This window comes from Homo sapiens, chromosome 1 (assembly GCF_000001405.40).
Source record: "Homo sapiens chromosome 1, GRCh38.p14 Primary Assembly".
Lineage (NCBI taxonomy): Eukaryota > Metazoa > Chordata > Mammalia > Primates > Hominidae > Homo > Homo sapiens.
In genome coordinates this window covers 64,552,319-64,579,844 of record NC_000001.11, presented here as the reverse complement: position 1 = coordinate 64,579,844, position 27,526 = coordinate 64,552,319, and the positions used below count along the sequence as shown (strand labels likewise).

At 38.8% G+C, this 27,526-nt stretch overlaps 1 protein-coding gene and 1 long non-coding RNA gene across 6 annotated transcripts in view, besides 1 other annotated feature; both read right to left on the bottom strand.

Annotated features, from left to right (window-relative positions):
• On the bottom strand, window positions 1-27,091 carry LOC124904195 (uncharacterized). Its single transcript, XR_007066150.1, has 2 exons — window positions 21,451-27,091; window positions 1-21,338 (listed from the first exon to the last, which is right to left on the bottom strand). It is a non-coding gene; the product is annotated as an uncharacterized LOC124904195 (long non-coding RNA).
• CACHD1 (cache domain containing 1) overlaps window positions 1-27,526 on the bottom strand; it is a 222,925-nt gene that overhangs the window by 113,209 nt on the left and 82,190 nt on the right. The window lies entirely within an intron of this gene.
• Window positions 6,976-7,681: an enhancer, noted in NCBI's record as "NANOG-H3K27ac-H3K4me1 hESC enhancer chr1:65037847-65038552 (GRCh37/hg19 assembly coordinates)". NCBI's record gives its function as "activates a minimal SCP1, AML or CMV promoter by ChIP-STARR-seq in primed H9 embryonic stem cells {active_cell/tissue: H9 hESC(primed)}" and the evidence as "EXISTENCE:reporter gene assay evidence [ECO:0000049][PMID:30033119]".

The following is a 27,526-nucleotide window of genomic DNA, read 5'->3' as shown; positions in this document are numbered from 1 at the left end:
TAACATACGATATATGTTTTTGTTCACCACTGTATCTTCAGGCTCTAGCACACTGCCTGGCATTATAGACATAGAAAAAATATTTAATGAAGTGATAAAGATTTTAAAAATTCATTCCTGAGAGTCATCAACCTTATCTTCTGTTCTAATAATCAACTCTTTTAAAACATACTTATTTTTAAAATATACAACAATATGTATTTCTGGAAGCTCCATCAAGAAGCAAGTTCTACCTTTTCTTTGTAGGTCCTGACTTCTGATAAAGTAAATATCATTAATTTCCCACATAGGAGTATTAAGTGCATAGTCCTTTATTGCCCTTGGGAATAAATGTTTTGTAACATAATGAACATAAGATGTAATTAAAAGAACTAAATTTTGAAATATCTTCACAAATTCACTTTAAAATAAAAACAAAATTTGTAGTCATATGTCCTTCTCTCTCACACACACACTCTTAATTCCACTTGAGAAATACCCAAGGGTTTCTTCTACACATTTGGAGGATTCTAACTTTGAAGAGTCAGATCTAGCTAAACTCAAGATATTCCAATCTGGTCCACTGCCTCTTTCTACATAGGCCATGAGCTAAGAATGATTCTTACACTTTTAAATGTTTTTTAAAGGAGAATATTTTTAATATTTAGTAGTTACATGAAATTCTAATTTTACTGTTAATATTTATTGGAACATGATCATTTGTTTACATATTGTTTACGGCTGCTTTCATTTTACAATGGCAGATTAAGTAGCTGCAAGAGTCTGTATGGCCTGCTTTGCTATAGGTAGAAGCCAGCGGCCCTAATTTATCCCCAGATGGAAACATAATCCCAGTGTGGTGCCATAATCCTAGTGTAGTGGTTTTATAGAAATTTCCTACAAATTCTTTAACAGGTCTACCCTTTGGCAGGTGGGGTCTACATGTCCCCCTGTCCCCACTGCTTAAATCTGGGTAGGCTTATGATGGCTTCTACTAGTGGAGTACAGAGAAAGTGATACTACGTGACTCCTAAAGCTAGGTCATAAAAGGACATGCCTGTCTCTTGGAACGCTTACTCTTGGTAGCTGTCAGCTACGCAGCTGTAAGAAGTCCAAGACACATGGAGAGGCCACAGTCAGTGCTTAGTTGGCAGCTCCCCAGCTTAGCATGTCTTCCAAGTCATCCCAGCCCAAGTTGTGGCATGAACCAAGAAACTTCCAGATAATTTCAGCCCCCAGAGTAGCCCCTTGATGAAGCCATGGACATCATGAAGCAGAGATAAGCCATCCTTGCTGTGCCTGGTCAAAATCCTGACCCACAGAATTTGTAAGCATGTTTGTTTATGCCACTAAGTTTTGGGTGGTTTGTTATGCAACAACAGAAAACTGGAAAATGCAGGATCAGCTGAATTCCATCCTAGGATATACATATTGAAGCAGGTGAAACAAAGCTCCTAAATGTAGGCACTGCATCTAAATCATCAAAATTATCAAGATTGTACCCTGTGAGTTGTAAATCTGTTGCAAAGAGATTTCAGGGTTCTTCAGAAAATTTTAATAGCTACCAGGACCTTACAGTGTGGGTATTCTCATTTTATATCAATGAGTTAAGTGATGAGCCCAAAGCCACAAAGTAAGTGGAAGAGCCATTCACTTATACAAATTCAAAGTCTGTGTGCTCATGCACTCGCTGCGGTGCCTCAGACAAACCAAACCTAAAAGAAGCTGCAATGGTGGCTTGAAATATTAAAATATGACAAATCACACAGGCTGAGAATTTCTGTTAACATAATCAAACAAGGCAAAGAGCAGAATGTTAAAAGGTCCTCAACTCTGGGCTGGCTGTGGAACTGAATCTTCCTTGGGATTGCAGGGTGACTGGTTGATGGGAGAGCAGCCCTGGCAGAGGTGTGTTTTACTGGGGGATCGGGGTAGAATGTCTGCCTTTGCCTTCCTGGTTAGGGTGGGCCTTCAGCTGCATTCTTCATCAATAGAGACAGAAAGTACCAAGAATACAGAGTCCAAACACCTATGGCACTTCACAAAAGGTGTCAAATCCATGCTCTGTCTACTTGGATTCACAGCTGTCAGTCAGAAATTCCCCAGTCTTTCATGTAGCAACATTCTATCTTGCCTTACTAAGAAAAATGCCAACATCTGCTGAGTGCCAACTATGTACAAGTCACAATTTTAGGCCTCTCACATGCATATACCAACTTAATCCTTTAAAGGACCCTATTAGGTGCACACTTCCATTTTCCAGAAGTAGACACTAAGGGGTAATTTGCTCAAGGTTACAAAGCTAGTAAGTGGTAGGGCTGGGATTCAAACCCATATTCTGACTTCAGAGCCCAAACCTTCAACCTTTACTCAACATTGCTTCTCTTTGTAATATGGAGATCAACCCTCTCCCCACATTTCTTTTCAAATCAATTTTAACAAATGTTGTGAAATGCTTGGCAGGATACCATAAGCTATGCACAGTCTCATTACTTTATAATAAGAATTAGATTTTTAAAAATTAATATGATTTCTAATAATATTCTTCAAAATTCCTATGAAAATCAAGTACTTTGAAGAAGTTTAGAATTATTAAATTTTACCACAAATATAAAAAAGGGGCCAGGAGCAGGGGCTCACACCTGTAATCCCAACACTTTGGGAGGCTGAGGCAGGTGGATCACTTGAGCCCAAGAGTTCAAGACCAGTCTGGGCAACATAGCGGGACACTGTCTCTTCCAAAAAATACAAAAAATTAGCCAAGAATATTGGTGTGCATCTGTAGTCCCAGCTACCCAGAGGGCTGAGGCGGGAGGATCACCTGAGCCCAGGATGTTGCGGCTGCAGTGAGCCTTGATCGTGCCACTGCACTCCACCCTATGATACCCCATCCCCACCTCCCAAGAAAGAGGTGGGGATATGATCAAATTTGTTATAAAGAATTCTAAAAAAAAAAAACAAACAAACAAACCCACCAAAACCTAATATTACCTGAGTACCATGGAATAAATTACATTAAACTATTTTAAATTGTTCAAATTACTCAAGGGGTTTTTGTTGGTTTGCCACCTGGCAAGAGAACAGAGTGCTAGTATTGTTCCTTTTCTTCAGAATTCAGTATTTTCCTAAAGAATTTCACCTTGACTATGTACCATTATAGGATAGTAAGAGAACACTGTGATGCCCAGTTTACAAGTGAAGAAACTGAGGCATATGGAGCATACAAGTCTCTTGACTACTGGGGGTGCTCTTGCCTCCCTCCACCTCACTGCCTGAGAGGAGCTCCCTGTGTGCTTCTGACGAGGAATGTGATGGTGACACACTATGGAAACCTCATCTTGTGCTCCACTATCGCGTCTTTTTTTTTTTTTCTTCCCTCTAAAAGGAATCTCTGTTAGCACGCCAACCAAACCCAGGCTGCTCAGCAAGCATAACAGAACCTCAGAGTAAAGACAGCCCACAGAGAGGTTAATCCTGAATGTATCCAATAAACTGAAGAGGACCGAAGGGCCAATGTAGACCCTTCCAAAAAGCCAGACAGATTCTGGGTCTGTATCCTGCCATGATCCCTGCAGACAGAAGAAAACAAAGACATTCTCAACAGAAAGCTACAGGTGGACCCACAATCCTCCTCAGTGTAATTAAAAACATTTTTCTTTCCACAGCTCAGCTTTCATCTTTTATCCTTCTTTATCCTTTCCCCTTCATCCCCTAAGGGGTTCCTGAATACGGATGAGACAACAGGACTAAAACCATCTTGTCATCTTTTGGGTCAATTCTTAGGCTAGCCAACATCCAGCCACGGGTCAAATGATCAGTAGGTAGCGTGCGGTCCCCATGGGAACGGATTCTAATTTGTCATTATCTCCAGTGACAACGTTTCATCACAACATCAATGAATTTCTTTCTTGCTGAATTTCTTTTCCCTTAATTTTCCCATAGACATTTCTGTCATTTGCATACTTCCCCAGAGCCCTTTTTTAAAAGCTCTTTTTACCTTAGCTTTATACTTCAGAAGATTGGGGGTGGGGTGGGCACATAGTTAGAAAAAGGTAAAAGAAAACAAAAATGCAAAGGCATAGTGGGTACTTTATTTATGTCTGCTTCCTAAAAGGAAGGGCCGGAAGGAGTTTTGAATGTTAGGGAAAGCTTTATTTAAAATACGTAACAATGAAGCTGACAGGCACAGACAGGAAATATATCCTAGGGGACTGAAGATTCATAGCAAAATTCCTATTGAACCTAGAAAAGTTTAACATTTGACATTCAAAAACCTTTGTGCCATGGTAAGAATTTAATAGTTGATCCTTATTTCCTTCAACTCTAGCCTTACCACTAAAGAATAAACCTTGCATTTTGTTTTCTAGTAAGTTTCAGAGTTTAGTTATTTGAATGTATGTGACATAAAAATAATTTTAAGCACAAATATTTAACATCTCTGAACCTCACACCACTGCATTCTGAAGTTCTTCGTAGAAAATATTCTCATTGTTTCATGTTGCACATCATATACAGGATATAAGAAATGCTCTCACTCTCTGCTATTCTTTCTATTAGTAATAGTCATAATGGTTCAGACAGACATAGAGCTCTCTCGCTTATTAGCTGGGAATTTGGGCAAATTCCTTGACTTCCCTTAGCATCAGTTCCTCATGAGTAAAACAGAAATGATATCCCTTAAAGGACTTATTGTGATGTTCAAATGAAACACAGTGAATATACAAAGGCTAGGACAAATACAAGGGATTATTCTTACTATCATAGTGGACAGTCTCTGGCCTAGAAAGGTAGTAGTAACTGGGGAAATATTGTGGGGTCTAAATTTTCTAACAACAGAGCTAGAAGTAAAAGGATAAAGCTATAAGTAATAAACTGAATGTTAACTAACCATTTTATTCATTTAACTCATCCATATGGTTAATTCTACATGGGAAATCTGGCACAAGGTCTTGTGGGGGAAAGCATTTTTTCTTAGATTAAAAGCAAAATGGCACAGAGGGCTGTAGTCAAAGAAGTTTCAGTTAAATTCAGCTGTCATTTACTAGCTGAAGGAGACGAGGCAAGTTATTTTTCTAAGCCTCAACTTAATTACCTCTAAATTGGATATAATAATAGCTGCTTTGTGATGTTGCTTGAGAACTAAGTGGGATAAAGTTTGTAAAGTACTTAGCAGAGTATCCAATGTATTATAAGCGCCAAATAAATGGTAGTGGCTGTTTACTATTACTATTATTGTAATGGTTATTATTGTTTGAGGAACTTAACAATGGCTGGGTACAAATGGAGAATCCAAAGAACATTCTCTGTACGTGGAGAAGGGTGAGTAGTCAACACAGTCAGGATAGATGTGTCAGCAGTAGGCCATGACCTTACTACAGCTGTCAGTGACTCTTCTAAAGCACTGTGTCATACAGGATAGGTAATTACAGTCTCGGGCAGCTCAGACTTTTTCTGGGATCCTCTTTTAAGACTCTAATAATGACCTTACTCTTGTGTTGTTGCATTTCACCATTTTCAAAGCATTTTTACCTGAAGTGTCTCATTTGTGCCTTATAACAACCCTGGGAGCTAGGCGGAGCAGATATTCTCTCTGTCCCAGTTTTACAATCAAGGAAATCGAGGCTCAGTGGTTTGCCCAAGCTCGTGCTGAGTAAAGGTAGAAAACAAAAAGACCTTTTCTTCTAATCTCTAGCTCAATTCTCTTTCTGCTAACAAGCTCCCTCAAATTGAAGAAAAATGTGAACTCTCCCAGATCAAATTATCTAAATTCTACTCATTCCTTCTGGTTCCAGCCCAATTTCAACCTCTTTGAAGCCTTCTCTGTCCTTTTCCAGAATTTCCTAGGACTCACCATTTGTTCCACTCACTTTCTGCTTCACACTGTTCTTGTTCTTACCTCATTTGAAGACCCTGTTTATCCCAACAAACCAATAACACAACAATAATTAGAACTAATTGATTGCTGATTATGTTTAGGGCACTGTGTGACATGTGACTTTACCTGATGCCTTTTAATCTTCACAACAGCCCTTGGTAATCACCCTATGCTATTTTTACAGGTGATTCCAATGGACTGACTTGCCCAAGGTCACAAAGCTAATAAACAGAATAATTAGATCACATTCATCCTCTTGAACCACTGCACTGTGCATTTTTATTTGTTGCCTGGCACATAGAAGAGACTTAAAGATGTTAATGTCACATGCCCCCACACAATATACCATTATTTGCCATATTGGAAAGATCTTCCTCTGAGTGTAGACAAAGGCAGATAACCTATGACTATTACTCATATCTGGTTCAAGCCAATCAGAAGCTTCAGGGCCTCTCCAGTTCCCTATCTTGATCTGCTTCCTAGGTAATATCAGCTGCTCTAAAGCAAGTCTTGCTGTCTTAGCTCCAACTATTCTACAAATACTATACAGTGGCATAAACAACAAATATTTATTTCTCATAGTTCTGTAAAGTGGGAAGTCAAAGATCAAGATGACAGCAGATTCAGTGTGTGGTGAGGGCCCTCCTTCCTAGCTTGCAGATGGCAACCTTCTGGTATCCACACATGGCAGACAGAGTGTCTGTCTCTTCCTCGTCTTATATAGAGTACTCTAGTGTTTCTGTCTCTTCTTACAAAAGCTTAAATTCCATCATGGGGGCTCCACCCTCACGGCCTCATCTAACCCTAATTACTTCCCAAAGGCCCCACCTCCAAATACCATCACATTGGGGGTTAGGGCTTCAGCATATGAATTTGGGGAAGACACAAACATTCAGTCCATACTTGCCCCCAAAAGAGCACCTGTTCAGAAAGGTATACTGATAGCAACTGGCCGCTGTCATGATATGGCTGCTCATCACCACTAGTTTGGGCCTCATGAAATTACTCAGTAGGACAGAGCCTGGGCATGGCAGGAAACGATACAGGACAAGATAGATGAAGACCTGGAGATGCAGTAGGGCCAGTCTGAATTTCCACTGGCCTGTGGAGACTTCAGGGTAGTCTGACAGATGTGAGGGAATAGCCCATCCAACAGAGAAACAGGGCAGCTGCTGACAGACGATCTGCAGGTGGACCAGAAAGATTTATGTGCAAGGCTGTCTGGGCTCCAGGGTCACATACCCTGATCCTGCGAGAGGTGGGGCCCCTGTGCTGAGCTGGGAGGAGTACAATGGAAAAAACAGGAGGCAAGTGCTGACATGCCAGAGAACAGGGGGAGGCTGAGCCCTGGGAAACAGTTGAGACCAGCAGCTTAGCTTCTTTCTTCATGCAAAATGAACATTTGCTTTAAAGGTTATAATGGGGTTGGTTTGGATAACAGTTTGTGTTGGGTATTGCAGGAGAGTCACTGCAATACACACCCAAGCCTCCCAAAAGCCAAGGTTATCAACTCAAGGGCTCAATGGACTCTTGCCCTGTTTTTCACCCCACTCTACCCTTAACAACCAGATCATAACAAAAGAAACAAAGGGAAAGGCAGGCTTCAACCCACTTCTCCTCACTTCACTCTGTAACAGGAGCCCCTGACCCGAGATTCTTTTACATCTGAAATAAGCCCAGGCCTTGAAAGTTTACCGTCTATTCCTTCACAAGGAAAAAGAAGTTCCACCTATTCTTGACCTTAGAAAAAAAATCGAGAAGCTGAGAATTGGGAAGAGGAGAGAGCAGGAGCCACAGAATAATCTCCAACATTTTACGTCACAACTTTTTGTGTAGAATATTAATCACGAGGGAAAGGGGAAAATACTATGGGTTCGTGAACTTGGGAATTCTCTGGTGGCCTGTGAAAGACCAGGCTTTCTACACTCAACTGTAGAAAAGAAAAGCAAACCCAGTCACTTCCTACATAAAACTCTTACTTGAAGAACAAATATCTGTGCATAACTTATAAACACTAAGTGTAACATAGACGCATTTCAAATAAAAGGGAGGCCGCTAGACAATGGGGATGGATAGGTCAGAAAGGCTCTGGGAACCTGAAATTTCACAGAGCCCAGACTCTCTTCTCCAGACCCAATGCAAATAATATCTTGTCACAAACCAACCTTGTGACCTGGGCCAGAGCCTGGCACACTATGCAGAAACTCAGAAAAATGTTTGCTGCATAAATGAAGGACGAAACCTGACCTAGCCTCCCGTTAGAGGATAACTGACCACAGCATGTTAGGGTTCTTCAAGGGCTTCTTTGAGAGAATATCGATCAAACATTTGCCAGCAAGCGTCAATTAGCTCAGCAGTGGAGTGGAAAGATGACACTGGCAAGGAAACAAGTATCTGTTACCACTAAGCACTTCCTTACCCTCACACTGGCCAAGTACTTACTGAATCCAAGTCCTGGGATGACAATCTTGAGACACAATGACCTTCTCTAAAATTTTTAAAAATCTAGATGTTTCTATTTCCCCTTTTAAAATAATATTAACTTAGCATGCCTTTTGAATGAAATATATCATTGTGCCATTTTAAGATTTCATTGATACTATGAGCTCAATTACAGTAATTGCAAGGTCTCTCCCTCCTAGTGCCTCATTTAAAAAGATAATTGCAAGACACAGCCTCATGTGCAGTGGAGTTCTATATTTAGAGTAACAAATTTGTACAAAGTAAATTCCTTTTAAAACTAAGGAAAGAAAAACAGTACAAAAGGAAGCATCTTATGAATGTTTGATTTCTTCAATTGTTAAAGACTGGCCTTGAGTATCCACATTACCTGAGTCTTGAGTATGACGTGGCATTAGGAGGCAGGAGCACTTTCTCTTCTGGTCCTACCTTTGAACAATGAAGCCAGTTGTAATGCGCTAATATCACTCAATAGAGAAAAGGCCTTTCTAGGCTTCAGTTTCAAGATACTTTAGCAGTGGCAAAGCAACTCTTGAGATTTTGGGGTCTTTACAATGCAGGCATATAGCTGTAAGTGTTGATCCAGAGGTACAAGTTTTTTTTTAATATCATTGGGAAAAAAAATTTTTTAAGCCAACAGTAACAGCACCCTCACCCCCGCCCGCCCCCCACAACTTAGTGAGGTGCAAATGTTGGGTGCTGCTGGAAAGTACATTGCCTGCTATTAAGACTTGCTAGAAACAACAACAAAAAGAAATGTTTCCCGTATGGGTTTCCAACCAGAGGAATGAGGATATTTGCCTGAACCGCAACAATTTTATTATATCCTTCTCTGAACTATTCTGTGTGTTCCCTTGCCAAGCTGCATCTAATATCACTCTCTAAGTCACAGGTGGATTTAGGAAGGTCTTCTCATCCCCTATCTGATGACAGGGCGAACTGCAAACAGAAGAACTGGGGCATGCCTGCTTTCTATTGGCTGTTTGGCTGCAGGATTCACCGCTAACACCTTCCTTTAGAGGCTGGTGCCATGGTAGGCCTGACATGCATGTCAGCGGATGTGACAGTGACACTTCCTCATGACTCCGCAGCATGTAAAAGGACTAAACTAATGGCTGCTTAAGTGACACCCAGTGTGAATGCCCATGAACAGCTATTTCAACATGATCCCTACCTCCCCAGAGTCTTTTAATATTAAAATAAAGCTATAGTTCTTGGCAGGTTTCCAGTTTTACCACACCACATGTTATTTCATGGGTCCAGATTTTCAAAGCATTTACTGAATTCAGGGGTTCCTGATATGAGCAGTAATTAATTCCTTCACATCATTACCAAAATATTTCCTATTGCACCATGGGATATGTTAGGGATGAGTGGTCCCTGTTCTTGAGTTGCTCGCCAGGTTTTATAATATGTTCTCAGATGAGTTTATGTTTACTCATTCTGCCAGTACAGATAATTTGAGGTTATTTTATTTTTCAGTGGGTGCGGCCATTTTAGGTGGAGGATGGAGTCAGGTAGGGCTGGGGTAGGGAGAGGGCTGGAGAAGTCTTGGCTGTTCCCTTAGCAGCATTTCCAAATACGATTCAACCTTGAGATATTGGAAATGCATGTAAAATGGGCTTACTTGTTTCCATTTTTAGTGGAATGTTCATTTCTCATGATACAGGCTTGCTGGCCTTTAAAATGAGGACTTGGACTCAGTCTATTCCCTTCTAGTTAAATGAAGTTTGACTATTTGAGTAAAAAGCCCAGATCCATGTTTTTTTCAAGGGTCTGCTTCACTGAAAGAAGACATCTGCACATACATAGATCGCAGAGCTATGTGAAAAGCTGACTTTTATAAAACTAAACTAATGGCTGCTTACGTAACACCCAGTGTGTTTCCTTCAGCTGGAACACAGAGAGAGGCACACCAGAGTGGGAGCTTACATGTCTCTTCCTGCCCTGCCGCAAGGCCCCCGCTGCTCCTCTCCAGCTGGGCCTGCCTGCAACACCCATTCCCCCTAAAGAAGCAGTACCAGTCCCTTCATTTGTTTCCTTAGAGTGGGAACACAAACTATGAGAATCAAGGGAATGAGGAAATGGACTAATCTGTGGTTTTGCTCAAACAACACTACCACTAAAAAAAACCTGTAACCAGAATTTCCAAGACTTAAATGTGTGTGGTGGTGGCAGTGATGGTGAGAGATTTAAATATTCTATTTTCTATAGATGGCATAGGTGTATATTTTTAAATTTGTATATTTGTGTGTGTTTATTTTTTTATTTGTATTTCTATTTTTACAAATATAAAAATACTGTGCATAAGGCTGGGCGTGGTGGCTCATGCCTGTAATCCCAGCACTTCGGGAGGCTGAGGTGGGTGGATCACCTGATGTCGGGAGTTCGAGACCAGCATGACCAACATGGAGAGACCCCATCTCTACTAAAAATAAAAAATTAGCCGGGTGTGGTGGCGCATGCCTGTAATCCCAGCTACTCGGGAGGCTGAGGCAGGAAAATCGTTTGAATCCAGGAGGCGGAGGTTGTGGTGAGATGAGATCACGCCATTGCACTCCAGCTTGGGCAAGAAGAGTGAAACTCCATCTCAAAACAAACAAACAAACAAAAAAACCAAAAAACTGTACATACAAAGAGTAAATATGTGCCTGGAGTACAATTAATAACTGTAAACAATAGATATATATTGCTTTTGTGTGTACATGGTTAATACAATACATAAAACATGTGCATACACAGGGTGTGTGCATGAGTGTATGTAAGCAGGATTATCTCAGCTTACCTCAACACCAGGCACATACATTGACTAATGTACTATACATACCCCTGAAGTCAATGGGTCTATATTTAGTACAGAAATTTAAGCTTTCATGCATGCATTCACATATATTTTAACTTGCAAATATATATATAAGAATACAGAACAGAGGTTACATGTATGTTTTCCTTAAAATAGAAACAAGATGGCTCCAAATCCCAAATGGGGGGTGGGGAGATGGGGAGCTATCAGGTGGCTTCCTCTCTCTGTGCCCATCTCGTTTTTTCCTAGCTGAACAGTACTCCAAGCATCCTGACTATTGTCCAGGCTTCATATGGGAAGAGAGATCCGGGAGTTCTGAGAGGTATCTAAGGGTTGCTATATCCTCCAGGGAAACCATACTAACAGAAGCTTACCAACCACAGTTCTACACTAAGAATGCCAAGTTGTTATCAGCTTCTCCCGTGTGACAGAAAGGGAGAAAGCGTAACAATGTTACGCTTTCATCCCACAAACTGGTCCAACAGCTGCAGTTTTTCACTCACTCAATTAGCTAAAAGTTCTTATTTAGGAGGTACTTACTTTAAAACAAAACAAAACAAAACAAAACCCCAATAGCCCAACAGAAATTCCATGAGGATACAAATTATAACCAACTGTCTTAAGGTTATGTTAATAATGGAATAATGATGAATTGGGAAGAAAGACAAAAGAGTCATCAAGGACTTCACTTATTTTTATGTCTTGTTTATGTTCCTGCAGGATGATCCATTAGTAATATAACGCGCTTCCTCCTAAGGCTCCAGTTATATCCTTGTGATTTATGAGAGCTAAAAGCTCGTCGCTAACAGCACAGAAGGCACCCTCCACCATTGTTTTACCCCTGACAACTGAGCATTTAAACTTGCTTTTCCTCATTTAGCAGCTAAGTTTTCATCATAGTACTTACATTGTTTAGACATATTATTTATCTTATATCAGCTGATGTAAGACTCTCAAGAGAAAATAAACCACCTTCATTTTAAAAATTGAAAACGTACAGATGAATTTGCAGCAGAAAAAGTATGAAAAACAACACAGCATATGTTTTTAGAACATGGTTAAGAACATGGGTTTTAGAGTTAGACCACTTTGGCTAAAATCCCAATCCTATCACCTAATTCAACCATGATTCTAGGAAATTACTTAATGTCTCTGAGTCTCGATTTCCTCAAAATGAGGCGAAGAACTGTATTTGTATCAGAGGGTTGTGGCACAAATTTAATGGGATGACTTATGTGAAGCAGTGTTTGTTAAATGAATACAAACTATCATGTTGAATAAATAAAATCTTTTCCAAAATGCAACACGATTTATATGTGTACTAATTCTTGCAACCGTCTGGCATTTGTTAGGATTCTAGGGACACATACATAATTTGAACAGAAATGAAGGTAATGCCACACTAGATGAGATCCACAGTCCATCAGGGCATCACCCTCAAGAGATTAGCAAGAAATATCAAATGCATGAACAAATGCTCCTGCAATTTAACAACGTCCTTGGGATAAGCTCTTTGTTTCTCTTCCTACAATGCCAAGTATAGAATAAGTACTCAACAAATGTGTGCTGAGTTCATCACCTGCCTACCACTTACTAGAGGTATGCTTAGAATCTCTCCCTCAAAGAGATCATAATCTAGTTTATCCACTCATTCCCCAGTATCTACAGAGCACTACAGTGTGAACTATTCTGTCATGGTCCCTATACTCAGGAGTTTAACTTCCACAAGAAACCTAATTTTGGCTTTTAGAGGAGGCAACACATACCATTTACTCTCTGCAATAAACATATACATACCCCTAATAATATTTAATTCTAAATATTATTAGAGCTAAAAGCTCTAACATATATGTGAATATATTATCTATTAGCTCTAATAATATTTATTTTTTTCTTGCCTCTTCCAAACTTTAAAGAGCATCCCAATTACAATATTGTTGCATGTTTTAAAAAGAAATTCAGATTCAGCTTTGCATAATTATTGCTGTAGTATAATTGTTTGTAAATCTTCCCTTTAAAAAAAAAAAAGTGATAGACCATTTAAAAAAAAGCCTCATTCCAAACAAATAAGATGAATTGCTGGGGGAAAACGAAAGACCATTAAAAAAAAAAAGCCTCATACTAACCTTCAATATACCAAACAAATAAGAGGAATTGCTAGGGGAAGGAGTGAGGAGGACAGAGTCTAGCCCCTTCCATTCTGTGGTAAGACAGGCAGTACTTCCCCCATACCTTGTGGGGGGGGGGGAATTGAAAACATACAGTGGAGCACTGAATCTAAATACACTTGAATTTCAAATCAGTTCTCTAACCCCCTACTTGGGTGACCCTGGAAAGGGAATTTCTTTGTGCATAATTTTTCTTGTCAGTAAATCTGGAAGAGTTGTTTTTGAGGATTATTAATTCATGCAGCAAATTTTTACTGAGCACCTGCCATATACTACATGGACAAAGTTTTAATAGTGCTGGGGGCACATCAAGACATGGAACAGACAAAAATCCACGCCCTCACGGAGCTTCTATTCTATTAGGGAAAGATACACAATGAAAAACATAAATACATACCTATGTCCTACATGATAAACTGTAAGGAGATAAAATAGAGAAGGGGGTAAAAACTAAAGAGAGATGCAATTAATAAAATTTATAAATGAGTGGTCAAGGAAGCCCTCCCTGAGAGGTATCATTTCAGCCAAGAATAAAAGGATGTAAGGGAACTAGCAAGGGAACCAGCCAAGTTATGTGAGAAAAGATTTAATCATAGTGCTTAATTAATCATACATTCAATACGTAATGCTGATTATTATCACGGCCAGTACAATATAAATAAAGAAAACACTAAACTTGGATTAAACATCTGGTCACTGCCACATTCATTTCTGAGGTCTTGAACAATTTATACTTATTACCTCTCTGAAATAGTTTACTCCTATGGAAAATAGGATAATAATACCTGCTCTTCTTATGTCATTAAGAGGATAAAATGAGAAAATATGTGTAGAAGCACAAAGAAAACTGATAAAGAAACATAAATATTAGAACAATTATGTCTCCTCTCAGGCTCTCTTTCAGAAATGACAGACCACCAGCCTCTTTTATTCACAGGGAATACAATGATTTGATAAGAGGCTCAGGAAGAGGGTTTCTAAGATGATAAAAATTAGCTTCTTTTCTGTAGAGTCAGACCAACAACAGTAAGAGCTAAGACGGACAGAGATTGATTTCCAATCAAGGAAACATAAACACTAAACCAGGTAAACCTGCCAGGGCTCTGGTTGGACAGAACAGCCCCCTGTTTACTCTGGTCCTTGCTTGATTCATTGTAAATTCTCCATCTGGGTGGCATCAATACCTCTCAACCTTTCTTTTGCCTTCCTACAGATTTAGTGCCTTCCATTCATTCATTCAATGAACATTTAGCAAGCACAATCAACACAGAGCCAAGTGTGGATCTGGGTAAGAGGGTGAACTAAACCAGGACCCAACCTGAACAAATTCCCTGGGTACAGATGAGGGAAAAATTGGGGACAAAGAAAGAACGGAATTCATCCACCCCACCTTCCAGATTCCTGCAGCCTGGACAAGTCTGAGCCTTTAAAATACTTCAGTAGGTAAATTGTAAACAAAATGAGAGCCCTCAGGCTACCACCATACTAGATTACACTTGGCAAGGCAACCCGAAACAAATCCAGATCCTGGAAATATGAATATTGAGGTGCCAGAGTATCTCCAGTCATTATTCAACAAATATGTATTAAATACCTGCCTAGTGCTCAACTCTTCTGTACCCGCTCTTGTCTAACCATTGTCCCTTTTCTTCCTGTGGCTCAGTACACAATTCAAGAACACACTCAAGCTTTCTTATAGTGGAAAGTGTTTGGGAGTAGAAATACAAAAGTAATACAAATGCAAAGCTAATATAATGTCCAGTCTCACACTTCTCAATTAGTTTTGCTTCTATTAAAAGCTTCTACTAGCTCCTTCCAGGGCCTTCTGTGAACATTTTCTCTTGAAAATTCCCCTTTTAAAGTTTACAGATTTACAGATTTTTCCTTCTAGGCCTTACCCAAGAGGATTAAATAACAAATTAAGAATAGCAATCTTCTCTGTAGCACACTGCAGGGGAGAGAAAATGGCATCCCACTACCCTTCCAGGTTCCTTGGCTGGGTTACAAATTAAACTGACATAAGACAGGAGAAAGACTTATGTAAATATTTAATTACATAAGTATGCACAGGAGTCTCACAAAATAGGAGCCTCAAAGAAGGGTCAGATGATTGATGCTGATACAGCATCCCAAGTTACAGAAAGGCATCAGGGCTTGGGGCTTCTGGGGAAGGGGGTGGCGACACAAGTTATGGGAGGGTGAGGGGAAGAAATGCACGGGGAATAAAGGTTGTCTTGTTATACAGATAAAAAGTCGGTAATAAAAGTTGTTTCTGAGCAGCCCTTAGAAGAGGTGATAGTCTGGGCATAGGGTCAACCTCTAGTCTCCCCTCCTGTGATCCAAGTTAATCTTCCCTGGTTGATAAAATTCCCAGGGAGGGGATTCATGACAATTGAGTTCCTTTCGGAGGATCCGTCTTTAGACAGATAAGAGGAGCTCAGAGAAAAGGCTCTGCATGCAAGTGGTGCTCAGAGAAAGCCTCTACTTGCACCTGCTGTTCCCCAAGTACCCTCAGTTCAAAGTAATATTTTGGGGTGACATTTCATGAATTCTTTTGGTATCCTTATATTGACATTATATCACCCTTTTGTAATCTGGAAGCAGAACACAAAATACTGAATGCCTACTACAGAGTAGGCAACCACCTAATCTTTTAAACAACTTTTATCTACATTTTATAGATAAAATTGATGTAGACACTGAAAGGCTAAATACCTGTTACAAATCAAACAGTAAATGACAGAGTCTTGCTTGGACCTTGAGTTTTCCATCTCAAAAGATGAGGCTCTTTGATTCTGTATCCCACACTACCCTTACTGAGGCTGTCCAAAAAAGACTAGAGAAAAGTTTCCTAACCCCTTTGGCCTTGTCTCCATGGTATCTGAGTATACCAGCTCCAAAATTCTAAAACATCACCTTAGTTAGGACTGATGATTCACATCGGGGCACATAAAGTGCTGTCTCTTTAAGGTTCACCCTCAATTCAAAATTTCTTTAAAGAAAGAGCTATTCTGTGTTTGTAGGCCACATGTAAGTTGTTCTGCTACCAGGCATCTTTATTCTCATATGAACAAAAGGATAGAATTTCATGCAAGGTCTACATCTGGAAGTATATCTTGCTTTCAGGTGAATTCTAGTTCATTGCTTTGACCTTTTCCAATTCTTCATGTCTAGAGCCTTGAGTGTATACTTGAGTAAAATAATTATTTGGAGTATTAATACCTGCTAAGTATCATTTTCTTATAAAACCAAACTGCTTCTCCTTTACAATGTCCCAGCAGATATTTGGAGAAATAAAACATCAAATTTTAAACCTTTCCTGTAAAATTCTCATTATCAAATAACAACTCAGAAAAATACTCCAAAAAACTGTCTGTCAGAATATATTTTAAATACTAGAGTACTGGGTGGGGGTGGGGCAGAAAAATTCTTAAATCCCTGAACTGTATGTGTGCAGGGCAAACTCTATCTAAAGATAAACTGAGCTGAGTTTTGAGCAGTTGTCTAAAAAATAGATTAGCAGTTTGATTCCAGTCAAGTTAATTGCCTGCTAAAACAAACAAACACTCCTCACAAGAATATAACAGAATCCAGATTTTTCCACAATACCAGGATACAACCAAAACTTTTTGATATATGAAGAAAAAAGCAGTGTGACCAATTCTCAAGAAAAAAGACAGTCAACAGAGATAAACCTCAAACCATTTTTAGATGTTAAAATGAGCAGACGAAATGTTAAAGCAGCTATTATAACTATGCTCAAGAATGCAAAGATAATACGCTTGAATAAAATGAGAAATTTCAGTACAGAAACAGAATTATTAAAAAGAAACAAATAGGGCCAGGCACAGTGGCTCACTCCTGTAATCCCAGCACTTTGGGAGGCCAAGGCAGGCAGATCACAAGGTCAGGAGATCGACACCATCTTGGTCAACATGGTGAAACCCCATCTCTACTAAAATACAAAAAAAAAAAAAAAAAAATTAGCCAGGTGTGGTGGCACATGCCTGTAATCCCAGCTACTTGGGAGGCTGAGGCAGGGAAATTGCTTGAACCTGGGAGGCGGAGGTTGCAGTGAGCTGAGATCATGCCACTGCACTCCAGCCTGGTGGCAGAGCAAGACTCTGTCTCAAAAAAAAAAAAAAAAAAAGGAAATTCTGCAGCATAAGAATAAACCATCTTTATCTTTATCCAAGAGAAAAAAAATTTAAAAAGAGAAGAAAAAGACACTGTCTCAGGGATTTGTAGTAAAATATCAAAAGATCTAGCATACCTGTAATCAGAGACCTACAAGGAGAGCAAATAATGAGACAGAAAATATATTTGAAAAAATCATGGTCCCAAAGTCCCCAAATTTGATGAAAGACACAAATTTACAGATTCCAAAAGCTCAACAAACACCAAGCAGAATCAATATTTAAACCATTATGTCTAGGGAGGCATAATCATAGTCAAATTGCTGAAAACGGAAGCAGAGAAAAATCTTGAGCGCAGCCAGAATAATTAAATGAATAAACAAAAAACATTGCATACAGGGTAACAAAAACTTTCACTGATTTATCATCAGAAACTACAGAGTCCAGCAGACAGTGGAACATTTTTAAAGTGTTCAAAAAACAAACTGTCAATTCAGAATTCTATCTAAAGCAAAAATATCTTTTAAGAAAAAAGGCAAAATAGAAACTTTTTTTTTTTTTTTTTGGAGACAGTGTCTTGCTCTGTTCCCCAGACTGGAGTGCAGCGGCATCATCACAGTTCACTGTAGCCTCAACCTCCTTGGCTCAACCAATCGTCCCACCTCAGCCTCCTGAATAGCTGGGACTACAGGCATGTGCCACCACTCCTAGCTAATTAAAAAGAAAAAAATTGTAGACAATGGGTGTCTCCCTATGTTGCCTGGGCTGGTCTTGAACTCCTGGGCTCAAGCGATCCTCCCATCTCAGCTTCTCAAAGTGCTGGGATTACGAGTGTGAGCTACTGCATGTAGCCAAGAAACATTTTCTGTATACAAGAAATAATAAAAAACTAAGAGGATTTGTCACTAGGGTATCTTCACTACAAGAAATATTAAAGGAACTTCAGATTCAATATCAGCTGTTATCTTTAGAAAGAAACAAAGAGCATAAGAAATATAGTAATTATGTGAGAATATACAATATTTTTTCTTTTAACTTCATTAAATATGGCAATTTAGAGCAAAAGCTATAACATTTTCTTGTGCAGTTTGTAATATACGCAGATGTAATAGATATGATAACTAGCATAAAGAATAGCGTTAGAGAAATGAACCTGTAAGTTGCAAGGGTTTTAGATTTTGTGTGAAGTTGATAGAATATTAACAGATAAAATTCAAAAGTGGGTTGGGAAGGAGGAGCTAATGAAAAAAAAAACAGAAAAAAAACCCAAAATATTAATTTATTAAACATTTCCCCTAAATATTCCTAATAATAAAATCAGAAATTTTCAGAATAGATTTAAAAAAAAACAAGTCTCATCTATATGCTATCTATAATTGAAAGTAAATGCTTCTGAAAAGGCACACCATGTAAACAGTAAGTATATAAAGGATGGAGTTGCTATATCAATATTGAGTAAAATAGACTTTAAGGAGAGAATAATATTACTGGAGAATAACATTTCATAATGTTCTAATTCACAACTCATCAGGAAGACATAATCTTAAATGTGTATATAAAGACATATCAGGCAAAAATGAACAGAATTAAATGGAAACAATACTATTTCACCATTACAGTTGAAGATTTTAACATCCCTTTCAACAAATGATAGAAAATAAAAATCAAACAAAATAAAAATCAGCCCATACACAAATGATGTGAACAACATTATCAACCACCTTAATACATAAAGAACACCTAAAAACTGCAGAACACATGTTCTTTACAAGTTCACTTGGTATATCCACCAAGACTGATCATATGTAGAGCCATAAAACCCAGGTCTCAATTAATTAAAAAGGATTGAAATCAAACAGTATGTTCTCTGACCATAATGGAATTAAATTAGAAATCAATAACAATAAGATATCTAAAGACCACAACGTTTTGAAAATTGAACAAAATACTTAAAAATCCATGGGTCAAAATTTAAAAATCACAAGAGAAATCAGAAAATATGTAAAACTGAATGATGATAGAAATACATCATGTCAAACTTTGAGGTATATAAAGTGTACTAAGAGAAACGTTTATAGCTTTAAATGCATCCATTTGAAAAAAAGGTAAAAAAATCAGTGATCTAATGTTCCAACCTAAAACACTAGAAAAAGAACAAAACCTAAAGTACAAGGAAGGAAATAATAAAGAACATAAATCTGTGTAATAGAAAACAAGAGAAAATTAAGGAAGCCAAATTCATTTTTTGAAAAAATAAGTCATCACTAATATTTTACCATTCATTCTATCTCTGATTTTGTCTGTCTAGCTAGAAGTTGATCCATTTTATTGATCTTTTCAAAGAACTAGCCAGCATTTGGTTTTATTGACTTGGCTCTATTGCTCTTCTTCTTGCTGATAGATATTAAAAAGATACAGATTATTACAAACACCTTTATGCCAACAAATTTGACAGCTTAGATGAAAATAGCAAATTTCTTTTTTAAAATATCAACTTACCAAAATTGACATACTAGGATACAGAAGATCTAAAAAACAAGGAAACAAAAACAAAAGGACAGCAGCAAAAACAAAATAAGAAACTCTATCTATATCTATTAAAGAAACTGGATGCTCAAAAACCTGCTCGCAGAGAAAATATCAGGTCCAGATGGTGCTCTCCTGAATTCTATCAAACACTGCAGGAAGAAATAACACCTTTCCTTCAGAAAGTAAAGGAGGAAGGAATACTTCCAAACTTGTTTTTTTGGTTTGTTTGTTTATTTTGTTTTTTTAATTTTAGGTTTGGGTGTACATGTGAAGGTTTGTTCATAGAGAAACACATGTCATGGGGGTTTGTTGTACATATTATTTTATCACCCAGGTATTAAGCTCAGTACCCAGTAGTCATCTTTTCTGCTCCTCTCCCTCCTCCTATCCTCTCCTGTCAAGTAAACCCCAGTGTCTGTTGTTTCCTTCTTTGTGTTCATGAGTTCTCATCATTTAGCTCCCACTTACTTATAAGTGAGAACATACAGTATTTGGTTTGCTGTTTCTGCATTAGTTTGCTAAGGGTAATAGCCTTCAGCTCCATCCATGTTCCTGCAAAAGACATGATCTTGTTTTATGGTTGCATAATATTCCATAGTGTACATATATACCACAATTTCTTTATCCAGTTTGTCATTGATGGGCATTTAGGTTGATTCCAAGTCTTTGCTATCGTGAACAGTGTGGCAATGAACATTCGCACACATGTGTCTTTAGAGTAGAATGCTTATATTCCTCTGGGTATATACCCAATAATGGGATTGCTGGATCAAATGATAGTTCCATTTTTAGCTCTTCGAGGAATCGCCATACTGCTTTCCACAATGGTTGAACTAATTTACACTCCCACCAACAGTGTATTAGTGTTCCCTTTTCTCTGCAACCTCGCCAGCATCTGTTAATTTTTGGCTTTTTTGATGATAGCCATTCTGACTGGTGTGAGATGGTATCTCATTGTGGTTCTGATTTGCATTTCTCTAATGATCAGTGATATTGAGCTTTTCTTCATATGCTTGTTGGGAAGATGTATGTCTTCTTTTGAGAAGTGTCTGTTCACGTTCTTTGCCCACTTTTTAATGGGGTTGTTTTTCTCTTGTAAATTTGTTTAAGTTCCTTATAGATGCTAGATGTTACACCTTTGTCAGATGTATAGTTTGCAAAAATTTTCTCCCTTTCTGTAGGTTGCCTATTTACTCTGTTGATAGCTTCTTTCGCTGTGCAGAGGCTCTTACCTTCAATTAGATCCCGTTTGTCAATTTTTGCTTTTGTTGAAATTGCTCTTGGTGTCTTTGTCGTGAAATCTTTGCCTGTTCCAATGTCCAGGATGGTTATTGCTTAGCTTGTCTTCCAGAATTTTCATAGCCAAACTGGTTTTATCAAGTCAGTATCTAAATCCAAAAAGTGATAAGTGATAGGGGAAAAAAGGAAATATGGAACAAGGAAAAGGAAAATCAGGAGCATGGAAGCAAGGTGGGCTGCAGCTTTGAAAATGGTGCTCACCTCATTGAGAAGGTGACATGGGAGAACAGACTTGAAGGAGGTGAGGGCCCATGGGGATCTTCGTCTGAACAGCACCTTGTGCAAAGGAATGTGCCTGGAAAGGCAAGGAGGCAAGCGTGCTATTCCAAAGACCCAAGTTAGGAAGATTTATCAAGGAAGATGAAAAGGATCAACTGTTCAACACTAATGTTAGTTAAGTAAATGAGGAATTAGCAAAGTAGTGGTCCTTGGTGATCTTAAAGAGAGTAGATTTGTGGGATGGGTAGGACTGAAGTAGGCTTAAGAGAAAATGGCAGAGGGCCTGGTGTGGTGGCTCATGCCTGTAATCCCAGCACTTTGGGAGGCCGAGGTGGGTGGATCACAAGGTCAGGAGTTCGAGAAAAGCCTGGCCAACATGGTGAAACCCTGTCTCTACTAAAAATACAAAAATTAGCTGGGCGTGGAGGCACATGCCTGTAATCCCAGCTGCTCGAGAGGCTGAGGCAGAAGAACTGCTTGAACCCAGGAAGCGGAGGTTGCAGTTAGCCGAGATCGCTGCATTGCACTCCAGGCTGGGTGACTGGGAGAGACTCTGTTAAAATAAATAATAATAATAATAATAATAATTTTTTAAAAAGAGAAAAAGAAAAAGAAAATGGCAGAACTGGATCTAATGAGTGTGGACACCTCTTTTGATGGGTTGTGACTCAAAGGGAAACAAAGAAATTAGACAGCAGTTGGAAAGGAAAGTGGGGTCAAGAAAAGGGTCTTTTGTTTGTTTAATATAGGTGAAATGTGTTTACGTGGTGATGGATATGATCCAAAACAGATCAAAAACCGCAGAAGAGCAGGGAGAGCTGCTAGAGGAATGCCCTTGACCAGATGTCAGGTACGTCTCCTGTATAAGGAGTTCTCTCAGTTCTCTCTGACCCATTTCAAAGGAATTCTGAAATCCTCTAAAACCATCACTGCCATCAATTCAACAGTTTCTGAAACACTATGAAAATATGTTTGCAATTTCATTGAGTAAATTATTAATATAAATAATTACTAGAGCATTTGAGAAAAAGTTAAGAGTAAACTCTTGAAACAAGTCCAAGGTGGCTCTGATCCATTTAATGATCCAATCAAGCCCCCCAAGAAGCTCCTTCTCCTTTTGTTTCTTCTTTGTGTTTTGCAGACCATATTTTGCTACTTTCTGAGGCATTTGCTCAGAAATTTATTTTTCTTGATTCAAGTTCAACTTTATATAATACCCTTAAGCAAACACACAACTTAATTTTTTTTTTTTTTTCGAGATGGAGTCTTGCTCTGTTGCCCAGGCTGGAGTGCAGTGGTGTGATCTCAGCTCACTGCAAGCTCCGCCTCCCGGGCTCACGCGCCATTCTCCTGCCTCAGCCTCCCAAGTAGCTGGGACTACAGGCGCCCGCCACCACGCCCGGCTAATTTTTTGTATTTTTAGTAGAGACGGGGGTTTCACCGTGTTAGCCAGGATGGTCTCGATCTCCTGACCTCATGATCCACCCGCCTTGCCAATTTCTTAAAGTATTAAAAAATGAAGTCTATGAGAGGTGTTCCACACAAGAATGTGTGCGTGGAATTTTAATTTTTCCAAGGCTGTTGCCATAGTTTCTTTGGCAGCAAAACTACATATAGTGAACTAATTAAGGATTTAAAACACATTGTTAGACAATTTAGACCCACACTCTCTGAAGGTTAGTTTAAAAGAAATGAGTAAAAGCAAGTAAAACTGTATACCCAAGAGTAAAAAATCACAAAATGTTTTTTATTAGTGTTAATTCCTTTGCTCCCCTAACCAGAGGACATTAACAACATGTTAGATTTCCTGCCAAGTTAGATAGTATGCACAAGAAAGATCCAACTCTCAACAAGATTTGATTAGTAAAGAGGGAGGGCAAGAACCCATGGGCATCTAATTTTCATTAACCCAAAGGAGAAATAATGGATAGAAAATGCAAGCCAGAATTCTAGATAATACAAAATATACAAAACCAAGCATAAAGAAACGGTTCCCTTTCACCTAAAGGTTGTGAGCTAAAAGCACACAGGTCAATAATCTGCTTTGAATAACTAACCTATTTTTACTTTATCAAACAAATCCTATAAGCGGTTACAATTGTTCTTATAACTATTAAGAAGTGGGGAAACTGGTGAATTGCTGTTAGGAAGACTGAGTCCTCAAACAAAGTGAAAGCAGGAAATCTAGGAGGTAAGCCCATGTCACACCCTGCTTTCTTCCTGAGAATGTGGGCATAATCTGGAGACCTTGACCTTTTACTTTAATGACAGCACAGAGCACCAGGGATAGGAGATAAACCTCAGGGTTTGAAGATGGGAAACCAAGGAATCTAAATGCAGGGAGTGGTATTACCCAACCAGATTTCAAAACTTGTTATAAAACTAGTCACTAAGATAATGTGGTACTGGCACAAGGATAGATAAATAGACTAATGGAACCAAATCAAATTCATACATACACAAAAACTCAACTAATGACAGAAAACACACTGAAAACAAATGAAGAAAGTACAGATTGTTTGACAGAGATAGAATATTTGAAAACACATATGGGGGAAGAAAAGGAAATTGGATATCTACTAAAGAAAAGGAAATTGGATACCTACTTCACATCCAACACCAAAATCAATTCCAGGTGGATAAAATACTTAAATGAGGCCAGGCGGGGTGGCTCATGCCTGTAATCCCAGGACTTTGGGAGACTGAGGCGGACAGATCACCTGAGGTCAGGAGTTCAAGATCAGACCAGTCAACATGGCAAAACCCCATCTCTACTAAAACTACAAAAATTACCCGGGCATGGTGGTGGACTCCTGTAGTCCCGGCTCCTCGGGAGGCTAAGGGCAGAAGAATCCCTTGAACCCAGGAGGCGGAGGTTGCAGTGAGCTGAGATCGTGCCACTGCACTCCAGCCTGGGTGACAGAGCAAGACTCCATCTCAAAACAAACAAACAAACAAAAAGAAGTCTTAAGTGAGAGAGGCAGAAGTTTTAGAAGGCAGTATAGGAGAATATCTTTATGTCTAAAGATCGATTTTTTAAAAAACTGAGTTAAAATTAAAACGTTAATTCTTTAAAAGATAAAATGAGGCCAGCTGCAGTGGCTCATGCCTGTAATCGCAGTACTTTGGGGAGGGCAAGGATGGTGGATTGCTTGAGCTCAGGAGTTCAAGACCAGCCTGGGCAACGTGGAGAAACCCTGTCTCCACAAAAAATACAAAAATGAACTGGGCATGGTGGTGCCTGCCTGTGGTCCCAGCTATTTGGGAGGCTGAAGCGGGAGGAATGCTTGAGCCCCAAAGGTGGAGGCTGTAGTGAGCTGTGATTGCACCAAGCACTCAAACTGGAGTGACAGAGCAAAACCCTATCTCAAAACCAAACAAAACATAAAAACAATAAAATGAGATGAAAAGACAAGGAAGGCAAAAACTAAAAGGACTTATTTACGAATCATAAATCTGCACAGCAACCTAATATGGTAACTACCAGCCACATGTAGCTATTTTATTTAAAATTTAATTATCAGTAGCTCTAGACACATTTCAGTTACTCGGTAGTCATACATGGCTGGTAGCTACTCTACTTGCCCTAATATGGAACATCATCATCTCAGAAAGTTCTCTTTGGACAGCACTGATCTAGAACATATACAGCATTTTTAAACTTCTAAAATAAACAACTAAAAAACTGGACAAGGAGCATTCATAGATATTTGACAAAACAAAACCACAAAAATTTACTATAAGCATGCAAAAAGGTGTTTCAACTTCATTAGTAATCAGAGCGAGGCAAATGAAACTCGCCTGATACCATTTCAGACACCCCACATTTGGCAAAGGATTAAAAATCAGACAATATCAGATATTAAAGGAGATGCAGATAAGCAAGTGACCCATGACAGCCACTGTGGAAGCAGTCTGGCATTATTCAGTCATGTTGAACACTGACACCCAGCACTTCTACTCTAGAGAAGTGATTCTCCACCTGAGCTGAATAGTGTCACCTGCCCCACTATTTAGGGCAGTGGTGTGTGGAGACACACATACAACACACAGTTCTACCATCATTAAGTTGGCAGGAGGCCAAGGATAATAAAATTCCTGCAATTAAGGGAATTATTCCTTCTGTACTATGTACGGAGGTATGAACAAAAATCAAAACATTAGAATAAAATTTTAAAAATTAGCCAGATTTAGTGGTGTACATGTAGTCCCAACTACTCGGGAGGCTGAGGCAGGAGGATTGCTTGAGCTCAGGAGTTTGAGGCTGCAATGGGCAATGATCGTGCCACTGCACTCCAGCCTGGGCAACAGAGCGAGAACCTGTCTCTTAAAAAACAAAACAACAACAAAATTAGAAACAGCCCAAACAATGTCAGCTATAAAATGGATACATAAATTGCATATAATGGAATACCACAGAAATGGAAATAAATGACCCTTAATTACAGATGTCAACATGGGTGCTTCTAATGAATATGAAGCTGAGTGAAACTAGCAAGATATGTGAATATAAACATATGCTTAAAATTTATATAAAGAACAAAAATAGCCAAACACAAAATTAATTTGGGGATAAGTACATATAAAACAAATCAAAACAAAAAAATGCAAGGGAATTGCTAACAAAAAATTAGGATAAGGCTACCTCTGAGAGGGAGAGAGGAAGATATTCTCTTTGGAAGGTCATACAAGGGCCTTCTAAGTTTGGTAATGCTTCATTTCTTTAGCTGGGTAGTAAGTTAAGATGTTCATTTTAATATATTTATTTATATGTATGTTTTACACGTCTCCATATATTTGATAAATTTCACAACTGTTTTAAAAGCCAGCTTAATTACCTACTAGCTGGGATCCGTGGCCTTTCTGAACATTGCTAATAACAATACTGCCACCTACCTCATGGAGTTGTTCTGAAGTTCAAAGGACATAGAAGTGTGAGTGATTGTGATGGCGGATATTTTACAGAATAGGAAACATACGAGGTAAACATGTCCCTAAAGATTTCATTCTGGGTACTGTCCAGGACCACAGAGTCTAGAATGTCTAAGCAGTTATTTAAGTCAAGAAGGTACTGAAGTGTCTGTGTTCTCATTGTAGAATGAGAAATCCCGTGTTCAATTCAACCCATGGGAGAACCATCATAATGAAGTGATAGCAAATTTTTCAATAAATGCGTAAATATGAGCTTTTATTGTTATGTTGTTGTAATAATGACCACAGTACTGAAAGGATCTGGAAATCATGTCACAGAAGAAGAAATTATTTAAGACCTGTTTATACTAAAATTTAGGCTAAATGATAATAACAACGACACAACTGTCCTCATTTTTGGGATAAACAACAGACACAGATCTATTTGTTAAGTGTTCTTCCAGAGGATGGAGTGGAGAGACTGGAGGAATTTAAAAGTCAGTACCCTTCTGGTTCAAATAAAAAAGAACTTTTTGACAATCAGTAATAAGACACACAGAATAGATTGTACGATAATTCCCTTGCACTTGAATTATTCAGATAAAGACAGTTTAGCAGAGACTCCTGTATCTGATGAAAACATGTATTTTAAAAATAAACTATGTTAAATTAAAAATACAGATAATAGGCTGGGCACAGTGGCCCATGCCTGTAATCCCAGCACTTTGGAAGGCCATGGCAGGAGGATTGTTTGCGCTGAGGAGTTTGAGACCAGCCTGGGCAACATGGCAAGACCTCATCTTTACTAAAAACAACAACAAAAAATCAGCCGGGCATGTGGGCATGTGCCTGTAGTCCAAGTTACTTGAGAGGCTGAGATGGGAGGATCACTTGATCAAGCCTGGAAGATAAAGGATGCAGTGAGCTATGATCCCACCACTGCACTCCAGCATGGGCGACAGAGCAAGATCCTGTCTCAAAAAAAAAAAAAAAACAAAACAAAATAAAAGTACAAATAATAAAACTTTCTGTCATATTTATTTCAAAAGCTAGCTGTCCTGCTTGATATCCATCAACTACAAATAACTTATTTTACCTCTTGGAGCCCCAATTTCCTCATCTGTAATAAGATATCTTTCCTTCAAGG